General features: G+C 39.3%; 1 protein-coding gene and 1 long non-coding RNA gene across 4 annotated transcripts in view; one reads left to right on the top strand and one right to left on the bottom strand.

Moving 5' to 3' along the window:
• RPIA (ribose 5-phosphate isomerase A) overlaps window positions 1-22,884 on the bottom strand; it is a 59,257-nt gene that overhangs the window by 27,403 nt on the left and 8,970 nt on the right. The window lies entirely within an intron of this gene.
• LOC105374853 (uncharacterized) lies at window positions 185-8,255 on the top strand. Of its 2 annotated transcripts, none has more exons than XR_007087133.1 (3): window positions 185-263; window positions 3,424-3,546; window positions 8,169-8,255. It is a non-coding gene; the product is annotated as an uncharacterized LOC105374853 (long non-coding RNA). The 2 variants fall into 2 exon arrangements; XR_940341.4 differs by lacking the exon at window positions 185-263 and adding an exon at window positions 7,702-7,768 and having other exon boundaries at window positions 3,472-3,546; window positions 8,169-8,244.

Genomic DNA, 22,884 nt, shown 5'->3' with positions numbered 1-22,884 from the left:
TCCCTGATCTCCCCAAATCTGGTCAAAATCTAAAGTTTATTTTGCTGTAGAACTCCCCCCACCTTTTTGTTTTTTGGAGTTTTACTTGATTCCAACAAGGAATGCAAGATTTCCTGTTTCCATGACGATGGAAGGCAGGTAACTCCTTTATGGAGTTTGAGCTCACTCCCAGCAGGGAATATGAGTTTAACATTTTTTGTTGTTTTTTTCCTCCTGCTTCTAGAGCGGTAGAAAGCAGTCTTTAGCCTGAGACCCATCCCTAGGTAAGTAGTTGAATTGGGGTTTTCTCTTGTCTAAAGCTTAATAACTAGTTGGTCTTAATCTCTCCTTACCATTAGAGCACTCGGTGATCATATTGTTAGGGTTTTTATTGTTGTTGTTTTTTGCAGTCTTTCTCCCAACAGATTTGACCAACTCTACCTGACTTGATCAAATCCAAGCAAGAATTCCAAATTATGGGTAACAAACCCTTTCTAATTTCGCTAAAATTCCTCGCAGCTGCAAAAGAGGGAAAAATAAACAAACAAACAAAAAACTATGCACTTGGTTTCTGTTTGCTTCCTGTCTTAAAAAAACAAACAAATGTTCTTTCATTTACTTCTCTTCCACCCTATACCTCCTTCTTCCCCCTTTGCCATCTGCAGTACCAAAAACAGTCTAGAGGTTTATAATGAGTTGAACCCCTTTAAAGAATTCAGAACAAAGGTGCCACTCACCGCAGTTGGGGTGTTCTGTTTTCTTTGCAGAGTTTCAAGAGTCATGGGCAGATTCTTCTTAGGTCTAAAGCTCTGTTTTCCTGTATTGGGTGACCTGACCTCTTTGGCTGTGGGGGCACCAGAGATCACCTTGTACTGTGAGAGGATCTGACCATGGCATGTATAATGGCAAATGAGACAAAGGACTGTTACGTCTTTGTTTCAAAGCTAAACTACAAACTAAGTTCCTCCCAAAGACCAGGAATGAACAAGGACACCGTAAAGGTTAGAAGCAAGATGGAGTCCGTTAGGTCCTATCTTCTTCACTGTCTCCGAATTTTGCAATGGAAAGTTTCATAACTTTAAATAATGACTATCAAACTTTTCATAAATAATCTAAACAATTAAAATAAGTAAATGTAATGGGATAAATACTTGTAGACAAACTTGTCATAATTTAGAATCTAAAGTTAAATTATAGATATTTTATTATTTGGGTATTTTCCAATAAAAATATATTGTAGGAAAATATTCTTTCAAAAATAAGTGTCCTTAAAAAGGTGAACAATTTTTGTTTGGTTCAAAGCTTTTTTAAAGGTTATGTATAAAACAAGTTGTAAAAGGAACCACAAAATAAGAGAGATGTAAAGAAAGCTATAAAAAAAAAGGGTTTTTTTGGTGAAAAAGCTTAAAGAGAAATAATTTTGTATGAGAAAAAATCTTGTATGGTTAATTTGGGCCTAGAATAAAATGACTGGTTGTTTAAGAAAGAGGTATGTTCAGGACAAACCAGAAAGTCCAAGCACGTCATGAAGAGTCTAAGGCACAATAAAAGGATTAAAAAAAAAAAAAAAACTTTTATAGATCAAGCTGTCTATAATTAAACACAAATTATAATGGTCTTTCTGGAGATTGGGTTTGATATTTAAAAAAAACCATTTATATACTAAAGAATTTATTAGAACAGTAAGGGATTGATTTCTTAAGGGATCTACTCTTAATAAATTATTAGAGATTTTAATTATGTTTTTAAATAAATATATGTATTTAAAGATATATTTGCTATTAATATATGTTTCAATACATAATTATAATTATATAATATATATGAACTCATCCTTTTTTATGGCTGCATTCCATGGTGTATATGCACCACATTTTCTTTATCCAGTCTATCACTGATGGGCATTTGGGCTGGTTCCAAGTCTTTGCTATTGTGAATAGTGCTGCAAAAAACATGTGTGCATGTGGGGGGGGGGGTGTGTGTGTGTGTGTGTGTGTGTGTGTATAATATATATCTAAAATATATCTATTATGTTTTATATTAACATATATTAATTATAATAATAAAACAATATACTAATATGTTGTATTTTATATTATACTAATTATATTAAATATGATTATATTAGTAATATATTTATAAGTATTAAAGTATAATTATTAAATTTATTTTCTTTTTTTTAAATTATACTTTAAGTTCTGGAATATATGTGCAGAACGTGCAGTTTTGCTACATAGGTATATACATGCCACGGTGGTTTGCTGTACCCATCCACCCATCATCTACATTAGGTATTTCTCCTAATGCTATTCCTCCCCTAGCCCCTCACCCCCTGACAGGCCCCAGTGTGTGATGTTCCCCTCCCTGTATCCATGTGTTCTCATTGTTCAACTCCCACTTATGAGTGAGAACATGCAGTGTCTGGTTTTCTGTTCTTGTGTTAGTTTGCTAAGAATGATGGTTTCCAGCTTCATCCATGTCCCTGCAAAGGACATGAACTCATCCTTTTTTATGATTGCATAGTATTCCAAGGTGTATATGTGCCACATTTTCTTTATCCAGTCTATTATTGATGGGCATTTGGGCTGGTTCCAAGTCTTTGCTATTGTGAATAGTGCTGCAATAAACATACGTGTGCATGTGTCTTTATAGTACAGTGATTTATAATCCTTTGGGTATATACCCAGTAATGGGATTGCTGGGTGAAATGGTATTTCTGGTTCTAGATCCTTGAGGAATTGCCACACTGTCTTCCACAATGGTTGAACTAATTTACACTCTCACCAACAGTGTAAAAGCATTCCTATTTCTCCACATCCTCTCCAGCATCTGTTGTTTCCTGACTTTTTAATGATAGCCATTCTAACCAGTGTGAGATGGTATCTCATAACTATTAAATATATTTCTATATATTTAAATAATATATATTTAAACTATATTTAATAATGTATTTTAAAATAATTTAAATTATTTTTTAATTTTGTTTTAGAAGTTTGACATTTATTACATCTCACCATTTTCAGTTTTTTCTCCCCTTTTAAAAGGAGCAAAGTAATAATGTTCTCCAACTCATTTTCAGCTCATATAAGTTTTTTTCCCCTCAAGTTCCATTTGTTGTGGCCTGATGCTAACAATAATTTCTTAAAGGTCTAAAGGAAATGTTTTCTTCCAACATAATATTCTGTACACTGCAGAAGGTCTTTCCTTTTGCCTTTTGGTAACTGGCCTAACAGATTTTACGTTTTATGGAAATAATTCCTATGGCATTAAGTTTTGATTTGCTTACGAAAAAAAACTGAGACAAATTTTTTTTTAAATTAAGGTTATTACATCCACGTATCTTTTTGTATGTGCTTTTGAAGTTCTTGTAACATTAAGTTACAGGGCTTTGACTCTTGGGTCTGAGAAGGATACCAAGTCCTGTAAAATCTTAAATACTGACAGTAATTAAAGCCTCATCATCAGGCCCCATAGAAGATGCCAATCAAAATAAACTGCATTCCTGAGACACAGGCCAGAAATTAAAGCTATTCAACTCCTCAACGCCAAGGGACTACTGTGGAACAGGTGGGTGTGTGAGATTGTAAGGGCCAATTTTGAGAGATAAAATAAGTTCAGTTTCACTATAAATCAAACATTAATGTCAAAAGCACACTGATGCAAGACCAGCATATGGGCACCTGGGTCAGATTAACAAGGTTATCTTGAGGCATTAACCGACTCCTTAATAAAGGTTATAAAGTCTATAAAAGACTTATGGAAGTTATATCTTATGTTCAAGATTAAAATTTTATAAATTGTTTATACATTTTGGAAAACAAATTTAATTAGCTTCATGTTTTGATTAGGGCTTATTGTTTGGCAAATTAAGTCTCCTCTCTCAAAAAATGAAGGTTTTTGACTTTTTCTTTTTTAAATCCTTAGGTTATCACTTTGGTTAAATGAATGACTTATTTTACAATGACCTGTGATCCTCTTTTGTGATATCAAGTGTTTTAAACCTTTGATATTTGACAATATTTCCAAAATCAAATTATAAATTATGTCTTTTTCTGACCTAATTAATCCTTTAAGATACCAGGTTCCCTAAAATCTAAAACAATGACATAATTTGGCTTATTTGGTATAAAAATTATACAGGAAGCATTGTCAAATATGAAATGGTGTTTGCTTTTCTCTGGGCTGTATTTGTATAAATGTTATTGGTATGTGTTCCAAAATTATGGGAAACTCCTATAATTCTGATATGACTTAATGTATGTTATCAGTAATAATTATAATTGTTATGTTAAATTACTATGTGCTACAGAGGTAACAAATCTCCTTGTCAACTGTGTCTTGACTATAGCTGCCCTAAAACTTTTTGTCATCCATGACAATTGTTGTCTTGTTTGGTCCTCTTTAGAAGGTGGCTTTATAATCAGCTATAAAACTCTTAACAGGTGCTCTTGAATACAAGTTTCTCACAACTTTAGAGATTGTAACATCAGAATAAAGGAAAAACTTTCAGGACTCAGAGAGCTGAAATATTCATGAATATCAAGCAGAACAGTAATTAACTGCAGGGACTAAACTAATAGAAGTCTGAAGTAATCTTTTTAACGTTTTGCTTAAGACGTTGCTGATCCTTTCTTTTATTTTTCAGAGTCAAAAAAACTTCTTTTAAGCTATTTATAGCTTTTAACAATTTAGTAAAGTATACTCTTATGAACCAAATTTGGGGCATATTTGTTTTTCTCTACCTGATTTCTATAAAACTTGGGGAGTATTTGTGACTATTCTTACCTTATGACAATACAGTTATTTGCATAAGTGCAATAAGAATCTGTTTTCATTCGTAATGGGGCACAATTAAAGAAACTGGTTATTTTACCAAGGCTTTAACTTGAATGGTGTGTCTTCCATAAAGAAATCAAACTGACTTATGGAGCCCCTTGGAAAAACTGACCTTACACCTTTGTCTATGCAGTCCCTGTACAGGATTCCTGAGCTGTGGTAAGTAAAGAATGTCACTTTCTGACAGGCCTAGGAGGCCCAAGTTTATCTTGGAACCTCAAGAGGAAAGGAATTCACCCAACTCATAGTATTTGATGGTACAAATCCATAATGGCTGGGCTCGGCTTTAAAAAAGGAGTCTTATCTGAGATTCCTTCTATGGAACAAAGTTCCATCAAAGCCAATTTAAAAGCCTGTGTAAAAAAAGTAATTATTATTCTTGCTGCACTGTATACAAATAATAAGGCCAAGTATGATAAAGCAAATCAGTCCTACCATGATTTGTCTTTAGTAAAAATGGGAAACTAGAGAAAAATTGTTTCAAAAACTATAGCACACCTGTTGTTAGATTCTAGTCTTGCCTATGTTTTTCAATTTTATTATTTTCTAAAATTTGAACCAAATTCTAATTTTTCTTGGCTACAACCCTGCAAAATAATGTTTTCAGGGGTTTTTTTCCTTCTTTTTTCCCCACTGTTCCGAATTTGGAGTCACCAAAAACTAAGCTGTGCTTTCACAAAGCCCTGCAAACTGAAGCTAGACAACTTAAACTTCAGAAGCAAACAACAGCAACCTATTTACATACATAAGCCACTTTCATACCTGTCTACTAATGTATGGACTTTAGAGTAATGTGGCCTATATCAATTTTCCAGGATTGTTCTTTTGTTTGTTGTTGCTTTTCTCCCTTCCTCCCCCTATTTTCTCTTCACAGGACATGAGACTTCACGACCTGCTAAAAATGAACTTTCCTAATAACTCAGGAACTACCTGTCTAGGAATAAACAATCCTAGCCATGAGAGATCAGAAGAAACCTGAAGCCAGAGACTCATTTTCTTCTAAAATACTTTCTCCAAAAGATTTTTTAAAAGAAAGGGGGGAAATGTAAAAGGAAAATAAATCTTGGGGCCCCAAAATCACTCAAGCTGGGAACTGCTTAGGGCAAACCTGCCTCTCATTCTATTCAAAGTCACCCCTCTGCTCACTGCGATAAATGCATATCTGATTGCCTCTTTTGGAGAGGCTAATCAGAAACTCAAAAGAATGCAACCATTTGTCTCTTATTTACCTATGACCTGGAAGCTCCCTCCCTGCTTCAAGTCTTCCCGCCTTTGCTTCGAGTTGTCCCGCCTTTCCAGACCAAACCAATGTTCATCTTGCATATGTTGACTGATGTCTCATGTCTCCCTAAAAGGTATAAAACCAAACTGTGCTCTGACCACCTTGGGCACATATCGTCAGGACCTCCTGAGGTGTGTCACAGGCACATGTCCTCAACTTTGGCAATATAAACTTTCTAAATTACCTGGGACCTATCTCACATTTTGGGGGTTCACAAAATTTAACAATATTACTCTAACCTCCTCCCTCCCTAATCTTTCTATGCCAAAACTGGACATAAAGAAATTATCTCGCCTATTTTGTCTGACTGTAGGTCATAAGACCCCCATTCCAAAGACCATTCTGCCCCATACCAAGGAGGGAGTGCTGCAGAGAGACCAGGAAGGATCTAAACCGAGGGTCTTGCTGGGTTTCTCAACTCAGTCTGTATCTACTAGCATTAAATCATATCCTTTTTGTCCAATCGTATCTCTACATGGCTGTCCATACTTTGCTGAACCTAAGCATAAAAATGGAGAGTTTCCTCTGATCTTTGGATCTGCATTCTGAAGGCATTTGTGCCACATAAAACAATGATCAAACACATTTGTATGCCTTTTGTCAGTAATTTTCAGTGAATCTTCAGAGGGCAAAGGGGGAGTTTTTCTCTTGGCCCCCAAAAAATATTTTGACTTCCTTTCAACCATTTCCAGAGACTGTATCTGGCTAAACTTAACACAAAAATAAGTTTACGTTTGAGTGGGAAAAAAAGTAACCTGAACAAGTGAATTTTAAAAGGCCCTGTGAACTCTCAATGACTCCTCCACACAGTTAACCGGAATGGGCCAGCATTTTCCAGTCTGGATACACTGTTATCAATTATCACCATAAAACTCAGTTGGGTGAGGAGTGCTATTTTAAAAACACAGGATCAAACTTCCAGGTAAAGATGGCAGTTTGAACACCTGCATTTAGCTCAGCTCTGTAAACCTGTATCTGAGACAGGTCACAATCAATTTAGAAAGTTTATTTTGCCAAGGTTAAGGATGTGCCTGTGACAGAGACTCAGGAGGTCCTGATATGTGTCCCAAGGTGGTTGGGGTACAGCTTGCTTTTACACGTTTTAGGGAGACATGAGACATCAATCAATATGTATCAGATGTACCTAGGTTCAGTCTGATAAGGCAGGACAACTTGAGGCGGGGAAGGGGTCTTCCGGGTCATAAGTAGATAATAGACAAAAGACTGCATTCTTTTGAGTCCTCAAGCGGCTATCCACTGAATACACAATTTAGTCTAGCTCAGTATCTGCATTTGTACATAAACAATAGGGTAGAGGAAGCAATCAGATATGGATTTGTCTCAGGTGAGCCTCAGAGGGATGACTTTGAGTTCTGTCTTTTGTCCACAAGGAAGTTCCTTGTGGGCAAATTTTGAGGGAGGTATGTAGCTTTTTAATTTTGTAGCTCTTATTTGGAAAGAAAATAGGAGGCAGATTTGCCTGACATAGTTCCCAGCTTGACTTTTCCCTTGGCTTAGTGATTTGGGGGCCCAAGATTTATTTTCCTTTCACAGCTCCTTCTCAAAACCTCTCTGAAACTACAATAAAGGATTTTTTCTTAAAGGAATAAACCTCATGAAAGAGGAGAAAATAGCAACGAATTTTAAAAGCTGGAACACTGATGGACAACGGTAAATGCAGGAATAAGAAACAAAAAACCTAGGCCAGTACTAAAGAAAGCTAAGAAGTAACTAAAATACCACAGAACGTCCCAAAAGTTTCAGGAAGCAGTGATATTTTCAAGTCCAGGATGTGAAGCCAACCTCACAGGGTTAACAAGAATTCTGAACAAAAATATAGTTATAATTAAGCATTAATCAGGCTGCACTTTGGCCCACTTCCTTGTAACCAAAAGTCATGTAGCTCTAGATACTGATCACTTGTATCCTCACTGTTCCTATAGATAGAATTTCTGACATTAGAGTCATGGGCTTTTAAGAATTAATTGCATCCCCCATTGTTCTTATAGATGGGATCTCTGACATTAATTAGAATCATAAGGCTTTTAAGAATTGCTTATGATTTTTTCAGATCCTGAATTCCAGCTGAAGAGTTGACATCAACCAGTTTGAAGCCTCCCTTCCCCCCGAAGAGGAACAAAATCAGCATGAGAATACTGTTTCTTCCTCTCCTGTCCCTTGACTTCACCCTGCACTCTTTCCAATCATCTCCACACTTCAACCCATTCCAAAACCCTTAAAATCCCCAGCCCCCAACTACTCAGGGAGACGGATTTGAGGATTCCTCTTGTCTCCTTGATTGGTGGCCCTATGGTTAAACCTTTCTCTGCTACAAACCAGTGTCTCTGCGTATTGACTTGCTGTGTGCATTAAGTGACGAACCTATTGTGTGGTTACAGTAGGAGTAAAAAAAAGAGAAGACTGGTTGAAAGGCTAATTTAAAACTTGTTATACCTCTAATCCTCCCTCTGTACTCCCAAAACAGCATGCTGATTCTCTAGAGAAGGTCAAACGCTGGTCTTAGGATTGAGTGGCCAAGCACATTTGAGGACAAGGGTACCCTATCAGTGAGCTATTGCTGAACAGCAGCTATCCCAGAACTCGGTGGCTGACAAACAAGTCACATGTTCATGCCCAGGTTCAGGAGATGCTGCACTTTCTCTCATCTACCACAGGTATTGTGTTGAAAACAAGAGAATTAAAAGCAAGTTTACATCCAGAATACTGACAGACATCTTCTAGTCCTCTTTACCTACTTGACTCCCAGGCCATGGGTAGCCATGCATACCCCTCCCAAAAAGAAATGGGGCAGCCTTCTCTAGGACATCTGACCAGCCAGGGGAAAGACAAATGATCTGACATCAGGAGTTCCCCAAGGTAATGGCCTGACAGACAATCCTCATCTTGAGAGCTGGCTGACCATCAGGTAGCCCAGCACTCTTCAAAGGAGCAGACAGGGGCCAGGCACAGTGGCTCACATCTGTAATCCCAGCATTTTGGGAAGCCAAGGCGGGCAGATCACTTGAGGCCAGGAGTTCGAGACCAGCCTGGCCAACATGGTGAAACACTGTCTCTACTAGAAATACAAAAAAATTAGCCGGGTGTGGTGGCAGGTGCCTGTAATCCCAGCTACTTGGAGGCTGAGACAAGAGAATCACTTGAACCCAGGAGGCGGAGGTTGCAGTGAGCCCAGATCGCGCCACTGCACTCCATCCTGGGCGACAGAGTGAAACTCCATCTAAAAAACAAACAAACAAACAAACAAAAAAACAAAAAATGAGCAGATAGAAAACAGACATAATTTAATAGACCAAACAATCCAACAATATTTTCATTGTGTTGGTTGTTACATGACTGTGCTTGTCAAAACTAAAAATTGTACTTAAAAGGAGTGAATTTTACTGTGAAGTGTACCTCCCATGAACTGGAAAAAACAACTGAGGAAACCTGTACAAGAAGAAGTCCCTTAAACAAAAAATCATTAACATCCTCAGTGAAGAAATTGAAAAAAAAAAAAATTAACCATAAAACAAGAACAAGATCCTACTACGAAAAATTTTCAGAAAACAAACAAAAAAGAGCTATTAGAAACTGAACACATGAGAACAAAGAAAGCTCAATAAAAGGGTCAGAAAAAGGCAAAGCTAAAAATGAAGCAAAGGGACAAAATAAGACTGTCCACAAGCACCAAAGTCACAAGAAGGGTCCCAGAAAGATGAACCAGAAAAAACAGAGGGAAGAAAAATGAAATAAACAATAGGGAAAATATTCCCAAAATTGCAGAGTGTGAATACGCATGATGAGCTGTCCCAGCAAGTGCCCAGCACACTGGACGAAAATAGATCCATACCAAGAGACACATCATGGTGTTTTCAGAATGCTGGAGAAAAACATGATAATAAAACGGTACGTGAGTCCTTAGAGAATTAAAAATAGATTTCATACAAAGGATCACAAATCAGAAGGGTATCTACCTCCTCAACAGCAAATTAAAAACCAGAAGACAACAGAGAAATGCCTACAAAATTCCTGAGAAAGTATTTAACATAGTGCTCTGTAGAGTCAAATGATGACTGAGGAAAAGTCGCATAAAGATATTTTCTTAGCCAGGTGTGGAGGCACACATTTGTATTCCAGCTATTCAGGAGGCTGAGGTGGGAGGATGGCTAGAGGCCAAGGGGTCAAGGCTGCAGTGAACTGAGATTGCACCACTGCACTCCAGCGTGGGTGACAGTGAGAAGACACTGTCTCAAAAAAAAAAAAAAAAAAAAAAAAAGGCCTACTCGTAGCTTGAAAAAAAAAAAAAAAATATATATATATATATATATATTCAGACATCCAAAACGTCATGGCCAACATAGTGAAACCTCGTCTCTACTAAAAATACAAAAAAATCAGCTGGGCGTGGTGGCGGGCACCTGTACTCCCAGCTACTTGGGAGGCTGAGGCAGGAGAATCACTTGAACACGGGAGGCGGAGGTTGCAGTGAGGTGAGATCATGCCATTGCACTCCAGCCTGGATGACAACAGCAAGACACCGTCTAAAAAAAGAAAAGAAGAAGAAGAAGAAGCAAGGGCAACCCAAAACAAGAGAAAAGAGAAGGAAATTTCCTGACTGTGAAGGGAGACCCCAAGAGTGCAGCCAAGTATAGCGGCTTACAGTTGACCATCCCGGATGACCCAAACAGCCTTCACAAAGCAGATGAAATTGATGAAGTGGGATACCCACTGTGCTGGAAAAAACAGATTTCACCACTTTGGGGAAAACAAAATATTGGGCAGGCAAGGAAAAGTAATCATACATAACACACTGTGTGGTTCTTGCACAGTTACAATTCTGTAAAAAACAAGTAAAACCTAACTAAAAAGTAACTGTACTGGGACAATTAGGAGAGGAGAGGGAGGGTGAACTGTGAGAGCAAGGTAAAGAATAAGCAAATGTTCATCTTCCATTTATCCATTCAGAATTACAATTACCTAAAGTTGTCAGAAAAAGAAAATCTGAAAGAATTTTAAAAGCAGCTCAAGATAGCTGCAGGTTGAACACACAGGTAAAAGAAACTAGGCCTATGAATTAAAGATGAACTCTCACTTGCAAGGCTGGAATTTGCCAAACATTTCACTAACATGTGCTGATTGTAACCTTCTTGCCTATCAGATGAAGCACAAATGCAGGAGAAAATCAATCATTTCTCTCCAGATCCTGAGACACCTGCATACTGGTTAACTTTTTACCCTATATTCATTGTAAACCAAAAACAAAATTCTATGCCTCCCAACTGACTGATGGACCTCTACTCTCAGCCAGGTGCATTCCAAAGAAAACCTGAAAATCAAGTTCAGGTCATGATGGGAAAGGGGAGTCAGATATGCCTCATTATACCATCTTCCCTTTGGAATTCAGGCACAACTGACAAGCATTAACATTAAAACAGATTTTTGTTCTTAATCTTTTTTTAGAAATAGGGTCTCACTATGTTGCTCAGGCTGGTCTCGAACTGAGCTCAAGCAATCCTCACACCTCAGCCTCCCAAAGTGTTAAGATTACTGGCATGAGCCACCACTCCCAGCTAAAACAGATCTTAAGATGAACAAAACAAACTATTTGTAGCAATAAGACACCAAATTCCAACCTGATCCTAGTATAGAATCACATGACAGCAGGTCCTGAAAGAAACTGTATTTTACCCTAAAATGTATTTCTTTGACATATTTTGAAATAGCCCAGTAAAGCTGTCTCTTGTAGGGAAAAAAATCTACATTCTGTAAAGAATCCCCTTCCCTTTCCAGGTCTTTTCCTTGACCCAGGGGAGAATTAATTAAGACTCTGGCACTTTTTAAGTCTGATAAGAAACATTTACAATCTATTCTGACACCTGCTACCTAAAAGCTTCATCTGCATAAATAAGAACCTTGGTCTCCATAACCCCTTATCTTCACCCAAACATTCCCTTCTATTGATTCCAGGTCTGTAGATAATAATTATTTCAACCAATTGCCAGTCAGAAAATCTTTGAATGCAGCTATGACCTGGAAGTCCCAACTCTGCCCTGGAGCTTCAAGTTGTCCCACCTTTCTAGACTGATCCAAAGTACATGTTACATGTACTGACAGATGTCTTATGTTTCCCTAAAACGTATAAAACCAAGCTATAGCTTGACCACCTTGCGGTGGTTTCTTTGACTAGCTGAGTGTTTTTCTTTTCAAAACTCCTTTGTCTGCACCAATCCTTTACATTCTATATAAGAGCAACAGAGATAAAAATTGCTCCAAATATAAAGGATGCTTGCGCCCACCAGCCCGGACCTCAGGTATTTTTAAGTGACAAAGAATCTTGCGGAAGGGTCAGAGGAGATTCCTCATGACATGTAGTGGTTCCAAAGAGCTTCACCATCAACAGGAAAACACTTAAGTTGTAATAGCTCCTCCAGGGAACTCTCATAATAGGCTGGTCGCCTAGCGTTCAGGGCACCTCACTGCTTCAGCAGGCGAGTTTCTCCTGAAACACCTAAGAGAGCAGACCAGCTCAGGGGTGAGCAGACCACCTCAGGGGTAAGAGCTCGAGGAGTGAAGCTCATAAGCAACACATTTTTGACCCTGAACACATTCTTAATCTGGTGCAGACAAGGGAGAAGGGAGGAGAGACATTTAAAACAAGACATCTGAAGTTGAAGCTATTGAAGGAGAGTTACCATCTTCCAAGACACCAGCTAGGCTTGTGACTAAAAATTATAGCACCTCATCTTATAAATTTTTTGACTCATTGAACCAACATCACTAAAAATTAAATTAGCTTAACTTGGCCAAAATGGGGCTCATTCAAGACCCCAAAATTGAATTATTTACGTGCACAACTGGGAGGAGTGGCTTAAAAATTAAACACAAAGAATGGGATAGTTACTACAATGGTTTTTAAAAGCTTCTAAAAGAAGTAATGATAAAATTGCTTCCATACAGGAGGTGAACCAAAAGATCCTGGAAACTTTCTCCACTGAAAAAATCGTCTCATGTTTCCACTGTCTCACCTCCTCCCCTCCAACTGCTCCTTCAGAACCCTCTTATTCTTTCCTTTCAGAACTGCCTTGGCTGGGCGCAGTGGCTCACATCTGTAATCTCAGCACTTTGGGAGGCTGAGGTGGGTGGATCACTTGAGCCCAGGAGTTCGAGAACAGCCTGCACAACATAGTGAGACATCGTCTCTACAAAAAATTTTTAAAAAGCTAGGCATGGTGGCATGCACCTGTAGTCCCAGCTACTCAGGAGGCTGAGGCAGGAGGATCGCTTGAGCCCAGGAGGCCGAGGCTGCAGTGAGCTGTGATCATGCCACTGTACTCCAGCCTGGGTGACAGAGCAAGACCCTGTCTCAAAAAAAAACAAAAGAACTGCCTTGCCCAGATCAGATGTTCCTTACTCCCTCCTCTACCCACAGAAGTTTTGATAGCACCTTTTAGAGAAAATCCTGACCCAAAGGGAGAACCTTCAGTAGTTTAGTCCCCCAGGACGAGGCAGAACTTAGAGCCCCTACTAAGGAATTTCCAGAAAAAAAAGGGGGGCTATTATTAAGATTCCTGGACACTCCAAACTCAGCCCTTCAGAGAAAAAGTATTTTGTTGACGCAGCAGCCAAAGGCTGCTCTAACACTAATAGCAGATGAAACTATACAGGTGGCTATATTTTTTTTAAATGAGTTCCATTGAAAAACAACTCCAAGTGGCTCAAGAAAAGGGTTCAGAGAAGAAAAAGCAGATATGGCTAACAAAGGAGACACACCTTTCCCCCACTTGCAAATTATAGTATGGACTCAACAACAGACTTGTTTTGCCTTTGGAATTTATTTCAATTTCCTGTATTACAACATTTCTATCAGCTCACTCACTAGGGACCTCAGAAAATGACTGCCTAAGAAAAACAATATTACTGGAAACAGTCACCCACAATTGGCTCATAAGACTTATGCTAAATGTGCAGTTTGTCCTAAACATAATCCAGGACAGCCTCTTCATGGATATCAAGGGCATTTTCCTTTGCCCACCAGACCTTCTGATATCTGGCAAGTGGATTTTATCCAATTACCTCCAGCCCAGGATTATAAATAGATACTGGTTATGATTTGAATGTTCTCTCACTGAGTTGAAACATTTCCTTGCAGAAGAGTCATAGCACACGCAGGAGGAAAATATCGTCGAAGCAAATAATTCCCTCTTGGGGAACTCCTTCCAAATTACATAGCGATAGAAGAACTCATTTTACTAGAAAGACAGTCCACTCAATTTGTAAAATCTGGCCCATTTTCCAACATTTTCATTGTGTATACCATCCTTAGTCTTCTGGATCGGTGGAACAAATAAACGGAATAGTAAAGATCCAGCTGGCTGGCCGGGCGCGGTGGCTCACGCCTGTAACCCCAGCACTTTGGGAGGCCCAGGCGGGTGGATCACAAGGTCAAGAGATGGAGACCATCCTGGCCAACAGGGTGAAACCCCGTCTCTACTAAATATACAAAAAATTAGCCAGGCATGGTGGCGGGTACCTGGAGTCCCAGCTACTCAGGAGGCTGACGCAGGAGTACGGCATGAACCCAGGAGGTGGAGCTTGCAGTGAGCCAAGATCGTGCCACTGCACTCCAGCCTGGGCGACAGAGCGAGACTCCGTCTCAAAAAAAAAAAAAAAAAAAATCCATTTGGCAAAATTAACAAAAGCTTTTCATACTGGGCCAAAGGCTCTTCCATTGGTTTTGCTTAACCCAAGAGCAACTTCTCTTGGATAACATCAATTACCCACTTACGAGACAATTACAAGTCAACCTATGAAACAGGACAGCAATTTATATGAACCAACTTTATTGAAAGGTGCTATACTCAGTTATTGTCAAGGCTTAACTAAACTTCTTTCCCCAAAATAAATTAATAAAAGATTCTTTTTACGGTGTACTCCTTGGAGACGAAGATCTTAAATACCATAATGTCTAGCCAAGGGACCTTTTTTTTGGAAACAACATCAACTAAAAAACTCACTTGAACCTCACTAAAAGACTCACTTGAACCTCACTGGAAAGGACTCTATCAGGTATTGTTAACTAATTGCTGTGCAGCAAAACTTGAAGGAGCTGACTCCTGGATTCACATTTCTCATTTAAAGAAAGCTCCAACAACTAAATGAACTTATAAGTCCACTGGAGACCTCCAGTTAAAGATTTCTGAGATTCCTGACACCTCTGATTATGGAAAGCAGACAAGACCTGATAGACAACATTGCCCAAATTACCAGACCAGGCCTGAACTGACAATGAATTTCTTCTGCATATATCTTTTGTTTTTGTATTTTCCTGCATGATGACTGAATTTTTACTAACACTCCCTCATGTGTTTGATCCCCATTCCTCTTAAGGGAAACTGCTAATCTAACTGATGTGAAAGTAGGACAAACATTTTTTCAATATCAAGAAGATACTGGAACCCTGACATCAATTTCTTAGAATCAGTCCAATGTTCCGATAGCCCATGGCACCAGTTTTTCAGGCATAATAAACTATCAAGAGGCCCCCACTTAGGGAAAGATATCCAGGAAGTTCTTCCCAATTCCATGCCTGGTCTGGCAATTTTTAACACTTTACAAATAGATCACTATGTTACTGTGAATACAGATGATCACTTACTATACACTTACTATACAAACTCCTGGAAGACATTTAGCTGCAGCTTATGTGCCTTGCCATAGCATCTCTTGTCCTAGGAGTCAGGGACCTTGTTTTTGTGACTGGTCTACACAATTCTAATGAAACTGGAAATCAAATAATGAGAGCTACTTGGTGGACAAGAGTACCACCAGAGGATACTTGGGAATGTTACCAGGGAGAATGTGAGAAGCCTTACAGTGTACTCAAACTAAACTGTATCTAGGGGTAACTGCTGCTCCTCTCACCTTAACTTGGAGCACCCAACATTATTGGGTTTGTAACCGGTACTCAAATTGCACTTCCATTATAAATGCTCAATGGCAACAACATGTTTGGTGGATAAAACAGCACTAGCCAACTAAAGCAAAAAGAACCTTAGGTCCAATAAAGGCAGGACTTGAGATGTTAGGACAAGCTAAAAGTGTATTTAACAACGACAAAAAAAAAAGAAAATCACAAGAAAAGTCAATATTTACCAGTCTAAACAGATTAAAAGAAATATTCTTTCAGAAGGAAGGTATGGGTTGGGAAGCTACACAAAAAGATAATGACACTATTGTTAAGAAGGTAAATCAACTACTCAACTAACAAGGAGCCATGCCAAAACCCAGTGATGGAAAATTGCATGCGTCCAAACTCAACAAGGTTTACTGACCATGCTAATCCAAATGGAAACTGAAGTGGCCTCTAAAATGTGCCCTCCATTTTGGATGCAGAAACACAAGGTATACATTTATGCACAAACATATGAACCCTCTTCTTCCTGGAAAATTACTACCAAGAATATGTAGCTTAATTCACTGTACTCTTACAGCATTAGCACCCCACATAGATAATAACTAGACATATAACATAGTGTTAGTAGGAATAGAGATTTTTTTAAGTAATACCCATTTTTCCCAATGGGGAGTTGAAAGGCCATATTAAATAATACTTGGAGTCCAATTTCAGTTCTACATCGTAAACAAATTCAGGAAGTTGGTGCTGTCCCCAAAATGTTTGGAATCCTGAAATCATATAAATATGACCCTTAATTTCTTTTTTTTTTTTAATTTAAAATTCCAGGATACATGTGCAGGTTTGTTACATAGGTAAATGTGTGCCATGGTGGTTTGCTGCATCTATCAACCCATCACCTAGATATTAAGCCCTGCATGCATTAGCTATTTACCCTGATGCTCTCCCTCCCCCCACACCCCCCAGACAGGCCCCAGTATGTGTTGTTCCCCTCCCTGCCTCCATGTGTTCTCACTGTTCAGCTCCAACTTATAAGTGAGAACATGCAATGTTTGGTTTTCCGTTCCTGTGTTAGTTTGCTGAGGATAATGGCTTCCAGCTCTATCCATGTCCCTGCCAAGGACATGATATCGTTCCTTTTTATGGCTGCATAGTATTCTATGGTGCATATGTACCATATTTTCTTCATCCAGTCTATCATTGGTGGCATTTGGGTTGATTCCATGTCTTCGATATTATGAATAGTGCTGCAATGAACATACATGTGCATGTATCTTTAGAATAGAATGATTTATATTCTTTTGGGTATATACTCAGCAATGGGATTGCTGAGTCAAATGATATTTCTGGCTCTAGGTCTTTGAGAAATCGCCGCACCATCTTCCACAATGGCTGAACTAATTTACATTCCTACCAACAATGTAAAAGCATTCCTGTCTCCACAGCCTCCTCAGCATCTGTTGTTTCTTGACTTTTTAATAATCGCCATTCTGACCAGCATGAGATGGTATCTCATTGCACTTTTGATTTGCATTTCTCTAATGATTAGTGATGTTGAGCTTTTTTTCATGTTTGCTAGCCACATAAATGTCTTCTTTTGAGAAGTGTCTGTTCATGTCCTTTGCCCATTTTTTAACAGGACTGTTTGTTTTTTTCTTATAAATTTGTTTAAGTTCCTTGTAGATTCTAGATATTAGAACTTTGTCAGATGGATAGATTGCAAAAATTTTCTCCCATTCTGTAGACTGTCTGTTCACTCTGATGATAGTTTCTTTTGCTGCGCAGAAGCTCTTTAATTAGATCCCATTTGTCAATATTGGTTTTTGTTGCAATTGTTTTTGATGTTTTTGTCATGAAATCATTGCCTGTGCCTATGTCCTGAATGGTATTTTCTTCTAGGGTTTTTATAGTGTTTTTCATTTTCTAGGGTTTTACATTTAAGTTCCTTAATCCATCTTGAGTTAATTTTCATATAAGTTGTAAGGAAAAGGTCCAGTTTCAATTTTTGCATATGGTTAGCCAGTTCTCCTGGCACCATTTATTAAATAGGGATTCCTTTCCCCATCGCTTTTGTCAGGTTTGTCGAAGATCAGATGATTGTAGATGTGCAGTCTTATTTCTGAGATCTCTACTCTGTTCCATTGGTCTGTGTGTCTGCTGTACCAGTACCATGCTGTTTTAGTTATTGTTTTGGTTACTATAGTTTGAAGTCCAGTAGCGTGATGCCTCCAGCTTTGTTCTTTTTGCTTAGGATTGTCTTGGCCATACAGGCTCTTTTTTGGTTCCATATGAATTTTAGGGTAGTTTTTTCTAATTATGTGAAGAATGTCAATGGTAGTTTAATGGGAATAGCATTGAATTTATAAATTACTTTGGGCAGTAATTTGGCCGTTTTCATGATATTGATTCTTCCTATCCATGGGCATGGAATGTTTTCCCATTTGTGTCCTCTCATTTCCTTAAGCAGTGGTTTGTAGTCCTCCTTGAAGAGATCCTTCACTTTCCTTGTTAGCTGTATTCCTAGGTATTTTATTATCTTTGTAGCAATTGTGAATGAGAGTTCATTCATGATTTGGCTCTCTGCTTGTCTATTGTTGGTGTATAGGAATGCTTGTGATTTTTGCACATTGATTTTGTATCCTGAGACTTTGCTAAAGTTGCTTATCAGCTTAAGGAGCTTTTGGGCTGAGATGATGGGGTTTTCTAGATACAGAATCATGTCATCTGCAAACAGAGACAGTTTGACTTTCTCTCTTCCTATGTGAATACCCTTTCTTTCTCTTGCCTGATGGCCCCGGCCAGAACTTCCAGTACTATGTTGAACGGGAGCGGTGAGAGAGATGACCCTTAATTTCTATACCCTGCTCAATATAATATATGGTACAGAAGTGATATGGTTTGGCTCTGTGTCCCCACCCAAATCTCATCTTGAATTGCACTCCCATAATTCCCATGTGTTGTGGGAGAAACCTGGTGGGAGACAATTGAATCATGAGGGCAGTTTCCTCCATACTCTTCTTGTGGTAGTGAATAAGTCTCATGAGATCTGATGGTTTTATCAGGGGTTTCTGCTTTTGCATCTTCTTCATTCTCTGCTTGCTGCCATCCATGTAAGATGGGACTTGCTCCTCCCTGCCTTCCGCCATGATTGTGAGGCTTCCCCAGCCACGTGGAACTGCAAGTCCAATTAAACCTCTTTCTTTTGTAAATTGCCCAGTCTCAGGTATGTCTTTATCAGCTGCGTGAAAACAGACTAACACAGTATGTTGGTACCAGCAGAGTGAGGCGCTGCTGAGAAGATATCCGAAAATATGGAAGTGACTTTAGAACTGGGTAACAGGCAGAGGTTGGAACAGTTTGGAGGGCTCAGAAGACAGAAAAATGTGGTTAAGTTTGGAGACTTGTTGAATGGCCTTGCCCAAAATGCTGATAGCGATATGGAAAATAAGGTCCAGATGGAGATGAAAAACTTGTTGGGAAATGGAGCAAAGGTGACTCGTTGTTTTAGCAAAGAGACTGGCAGCATTTTGCCCCTGCCCCAGAGATTTGTGGAACTTTGACCTTGAGAGAGATGATTTAAGATATCTGGCAGAAGAAATTTCTAAGCAGCAAAGCATTCGAGAGGTGACTTGGGTGCTGTTAAAAGCATTCAGTTTTAAAAGGGAAACAGAGTATAAAAGTTTGAAAAATTTGCAGCCTGAATCCGATAGAAAAGAAAATCCTATTTTCTGAGGAGAAATTCAAGCCGGCTGCAGACATCTGAATAAGTAAGGAAGAGCCAAATGTTAATCCCCAAGACAGTGGGGAAAATGTCACCAGGGCATGTCAGAGGTCTTCATGGAAGCCCCTCCCATCACACACCTGGAGGCCTAGGAGAAAAAAGTGGTTTTGTGGGCCAGGCCCAGGGTCCCCAAGCTGTGTGCAGCCTAGGGACTTGATGCCCTGCGTCCTAGCCACTCCACCCCTGGCTGAAAGGGGCCAATGTAGAGCTCGGGCTGTAGCTTCAGATGGTGCAAGCCCCAAGCCTTGGCAGCTTCCATGTGGTGTTGAGCCTGCAGGAGCACAGAAGTCAAGAATTGAGGTTTGGGAACCTCTGTCTAGATTTCAGAAGATGTATGGAAACACCTGGATGCCCAGGCAGAAGTTTGCTGCAGGAGTGGGGCTCTCATGGAGAACTTCTGCTAGGGCAGTGCGGATGGAAAATGTGGGGTTGGAGCCCCTGCACAGAGTCTCTACTGGGGCACTGCCTAGTGGAGCTGTGAGAAAAGGGCCACTGTCCTCCAGACCCCAGAATGGTAGATCCACTGACAGCTTGCACCATGCACCTGGAAAAGCTGCAGACACTCAATGCCAGCCCATGAAAGCAGCCAGGAGGAAGGCTGTGCCCTGCAAAGCCACAGGAAGGGAACTGCCCAAGACCATGGGCACCCACCTCTAGCATCAGCATGACCTGGATGTGAGACATGGAGACAAAGGAGATCATTTTGGCGCTTTAAGATTTGACTGCCCATCCTGGATTTCAGACTTGCGTGGGACCTGTAGCCCCTGTGTTCTGGCCAATTTTTCCCATCTGGAATGAGTGTATTCACCCAATACCTGTACCCCCAGTGTATCTGGGAAATAACTAGCTTGCTTTTGATTTTATAGGCTTACAAGCTGAAGTGACTTGCCTTGTCTCAGATGAGACTTTGGACTGTGGACTTTTGAGTTAATGCTGAAATGAGCTAAGACTTTGGGGACTATTGGGAAGGCATAATTGGTTTTGAAATGCAAGGACATGAGATTTGGCAGGCTCCAGAGCTGGCTGCAGGCTGCCAGCATTCTGTCCCCACCCAAAGCTCATCTTGAATTGTACTCCCATAATTCCCATGTGTTGTGGGAGTGACCTGGTGGGAGATAATTGAATCATGAGCGTGGTTTCCTCCACGCTGTTCTCATAGTAGTGAGCAAGTCTCACGAGATCTGATGGTTTTATCAAGGTTGCTTTTGTGTCTTCCTCATTCTCTCTTTGTCTGCTGCCATCCACGTAAAACGAGACTTGTTCCTCCTTGCTTTCTGCCATGATTGTGAGGCTTCCCCAGCACGTGGAACTGTAAGTCCAATTAAACCTCATTCTTTTGTAAATTGCCCAGTCTCAGGTATGTCTTTATCAGCAGCATGAAAATGGACTAACACAATAGGAAAAGGTTGCTTACATTAGAAAGGGAGGAAAAATGAGACTGTAGCTGTTTTAGATCTTACTTGCAACCAGACAACATTTGATTTAAATTATACTGCCATTTGGTACAATACTGGGTTAACAGGAAAGTTACTTTTACGATGAAGTAATACTTTTGATAATAAAAATTGGAAAATTGGAACTCAACCCTCCTCAAATTGTACTCCCAGCAGAAAATGGACAAGCAATTAGACATTATAAATCATCAGCTAATTACAGTTATAAATGCAAAGATATCATAAAGTACAAATACAAAGGGAGGAAATTTATCTAATTAGTCACAGACTATCAAAATCTATGTTCAAGATTCTTTTCTATGATAAGTGTTTCTTTACTTCAGTGGACCTCTAAGTTGCTCATCATATTGTTGATTATCTTTCTAATATTCCTACATTACAAATATTATCAATACTGCAAAAATGTTACCAAAAGAATAAAACTCCAGCCAAAATTATGTTAGCTCATCAATTTGAACTACAGCCACAGAATGTATGTAAGGGTGGTCCTCTATTGTCTGTTTTATCCAACATACTCTTTCCTCTAATTCTGACCTACTGAATTACAACAGAAAGGGACACGCTCCCAGTTTGCTCTGAGTCTGTGTCCCTGATCTATAGTCCTCAAACTTGGCTCAGAATAAAATTAACTTTGACTTAAATCTATAGTGGCTGTTAGAATATCCAATCACCTAAAAGAGCTAAAAGTATGTCCATGTAAAGAGCAAGAAATAGTGGAGGTCAGGGGTGGGAGGTAATAAGAGTGTGCTTTCTAGGTAGTGGTCATCTAGGGGAAAGTGAGGGTAGTGTGCTTTTTTTTCTTTTAAATAAAAAGACTTGAATTATTTGTTTCTTCAATCCACGTGCATATATAACTTTAAAAATAAACACCAATGTAATTTATTAACTAAGAAATAAAAATACTTGATGATCAAGCCAGTTGGAAAAATTAGATACTTAGCTTTTCAAAAGACTAAGAAAATCCATCACAAGCCACTGAGGCTTTAAAAGCATTGCCTCAAGAAAGCAGGATTTAAAAAAAAAAAAAAAAAGCTATATAAAACACTTAAGATATTGCCTTCAGTCCCCTGGGTGGCCATCCACCTTGTTTAAGGTCTCCAAGAGATTTAACATCAAGGAAGCTCCAACAGTATGCACTATCCAACTCCCTAACCTGTCTACCTGGAATCTCTGCCTTACACCCTACTGTTAAGCTGAGGCCAGTCTGGTTTAGAAGGAACCTTAACCTCTCTCCCTTCACCAGAGCTGGTTGCAGGCTGCCAGCATCCTGTGTCTCCAGGATTGGGAGGGTTTCCTAAGAAACCCAGCTATCCAAGCCTAAGTCCATAAAGTCCCAGGAGCATCAGTCACTCATAAATCTCATCTCCTACCCCAGTGCATAGTATCATCTTGACTAATCCAGCGAGAGATTATACACATACTCCTCCCTGCAATGGCCAGATGAGGGATGACAATTGGCTCCATCTGAGCAACTGTCTTCCCTTCCACTTCCCAAAACCTCTCTTCCCTTATCTCTCCCTATATTTAACTGGCTCCACTGCTTTCCTCCATCAGCTCCTACTATTTTATGATGTACTTGCATTACCAACACATTGCTTAATTCCTTTTAGCCTGATTTTTTTTTTCTTGAGACAGGGTC

Source organism: Homo sapiens, chromosome 2 (assembly GCF_000001405.40).
Source record: "Homo sapiens chromosome 2, GRCh38.p14 Primary Assembly".
Classification (NCBI taxonomy): domain Eukaryota; kingdom Metazoa; phylum Chordata; class Mammalia; order Primates; family Hominidae; genus Homo; species Homo sapiens.
The sequence above is the reverse complement of the archived record's forward strand: the minus strand, read 5'-3'. Positions and strand labels throughout refer to the sequence as shown.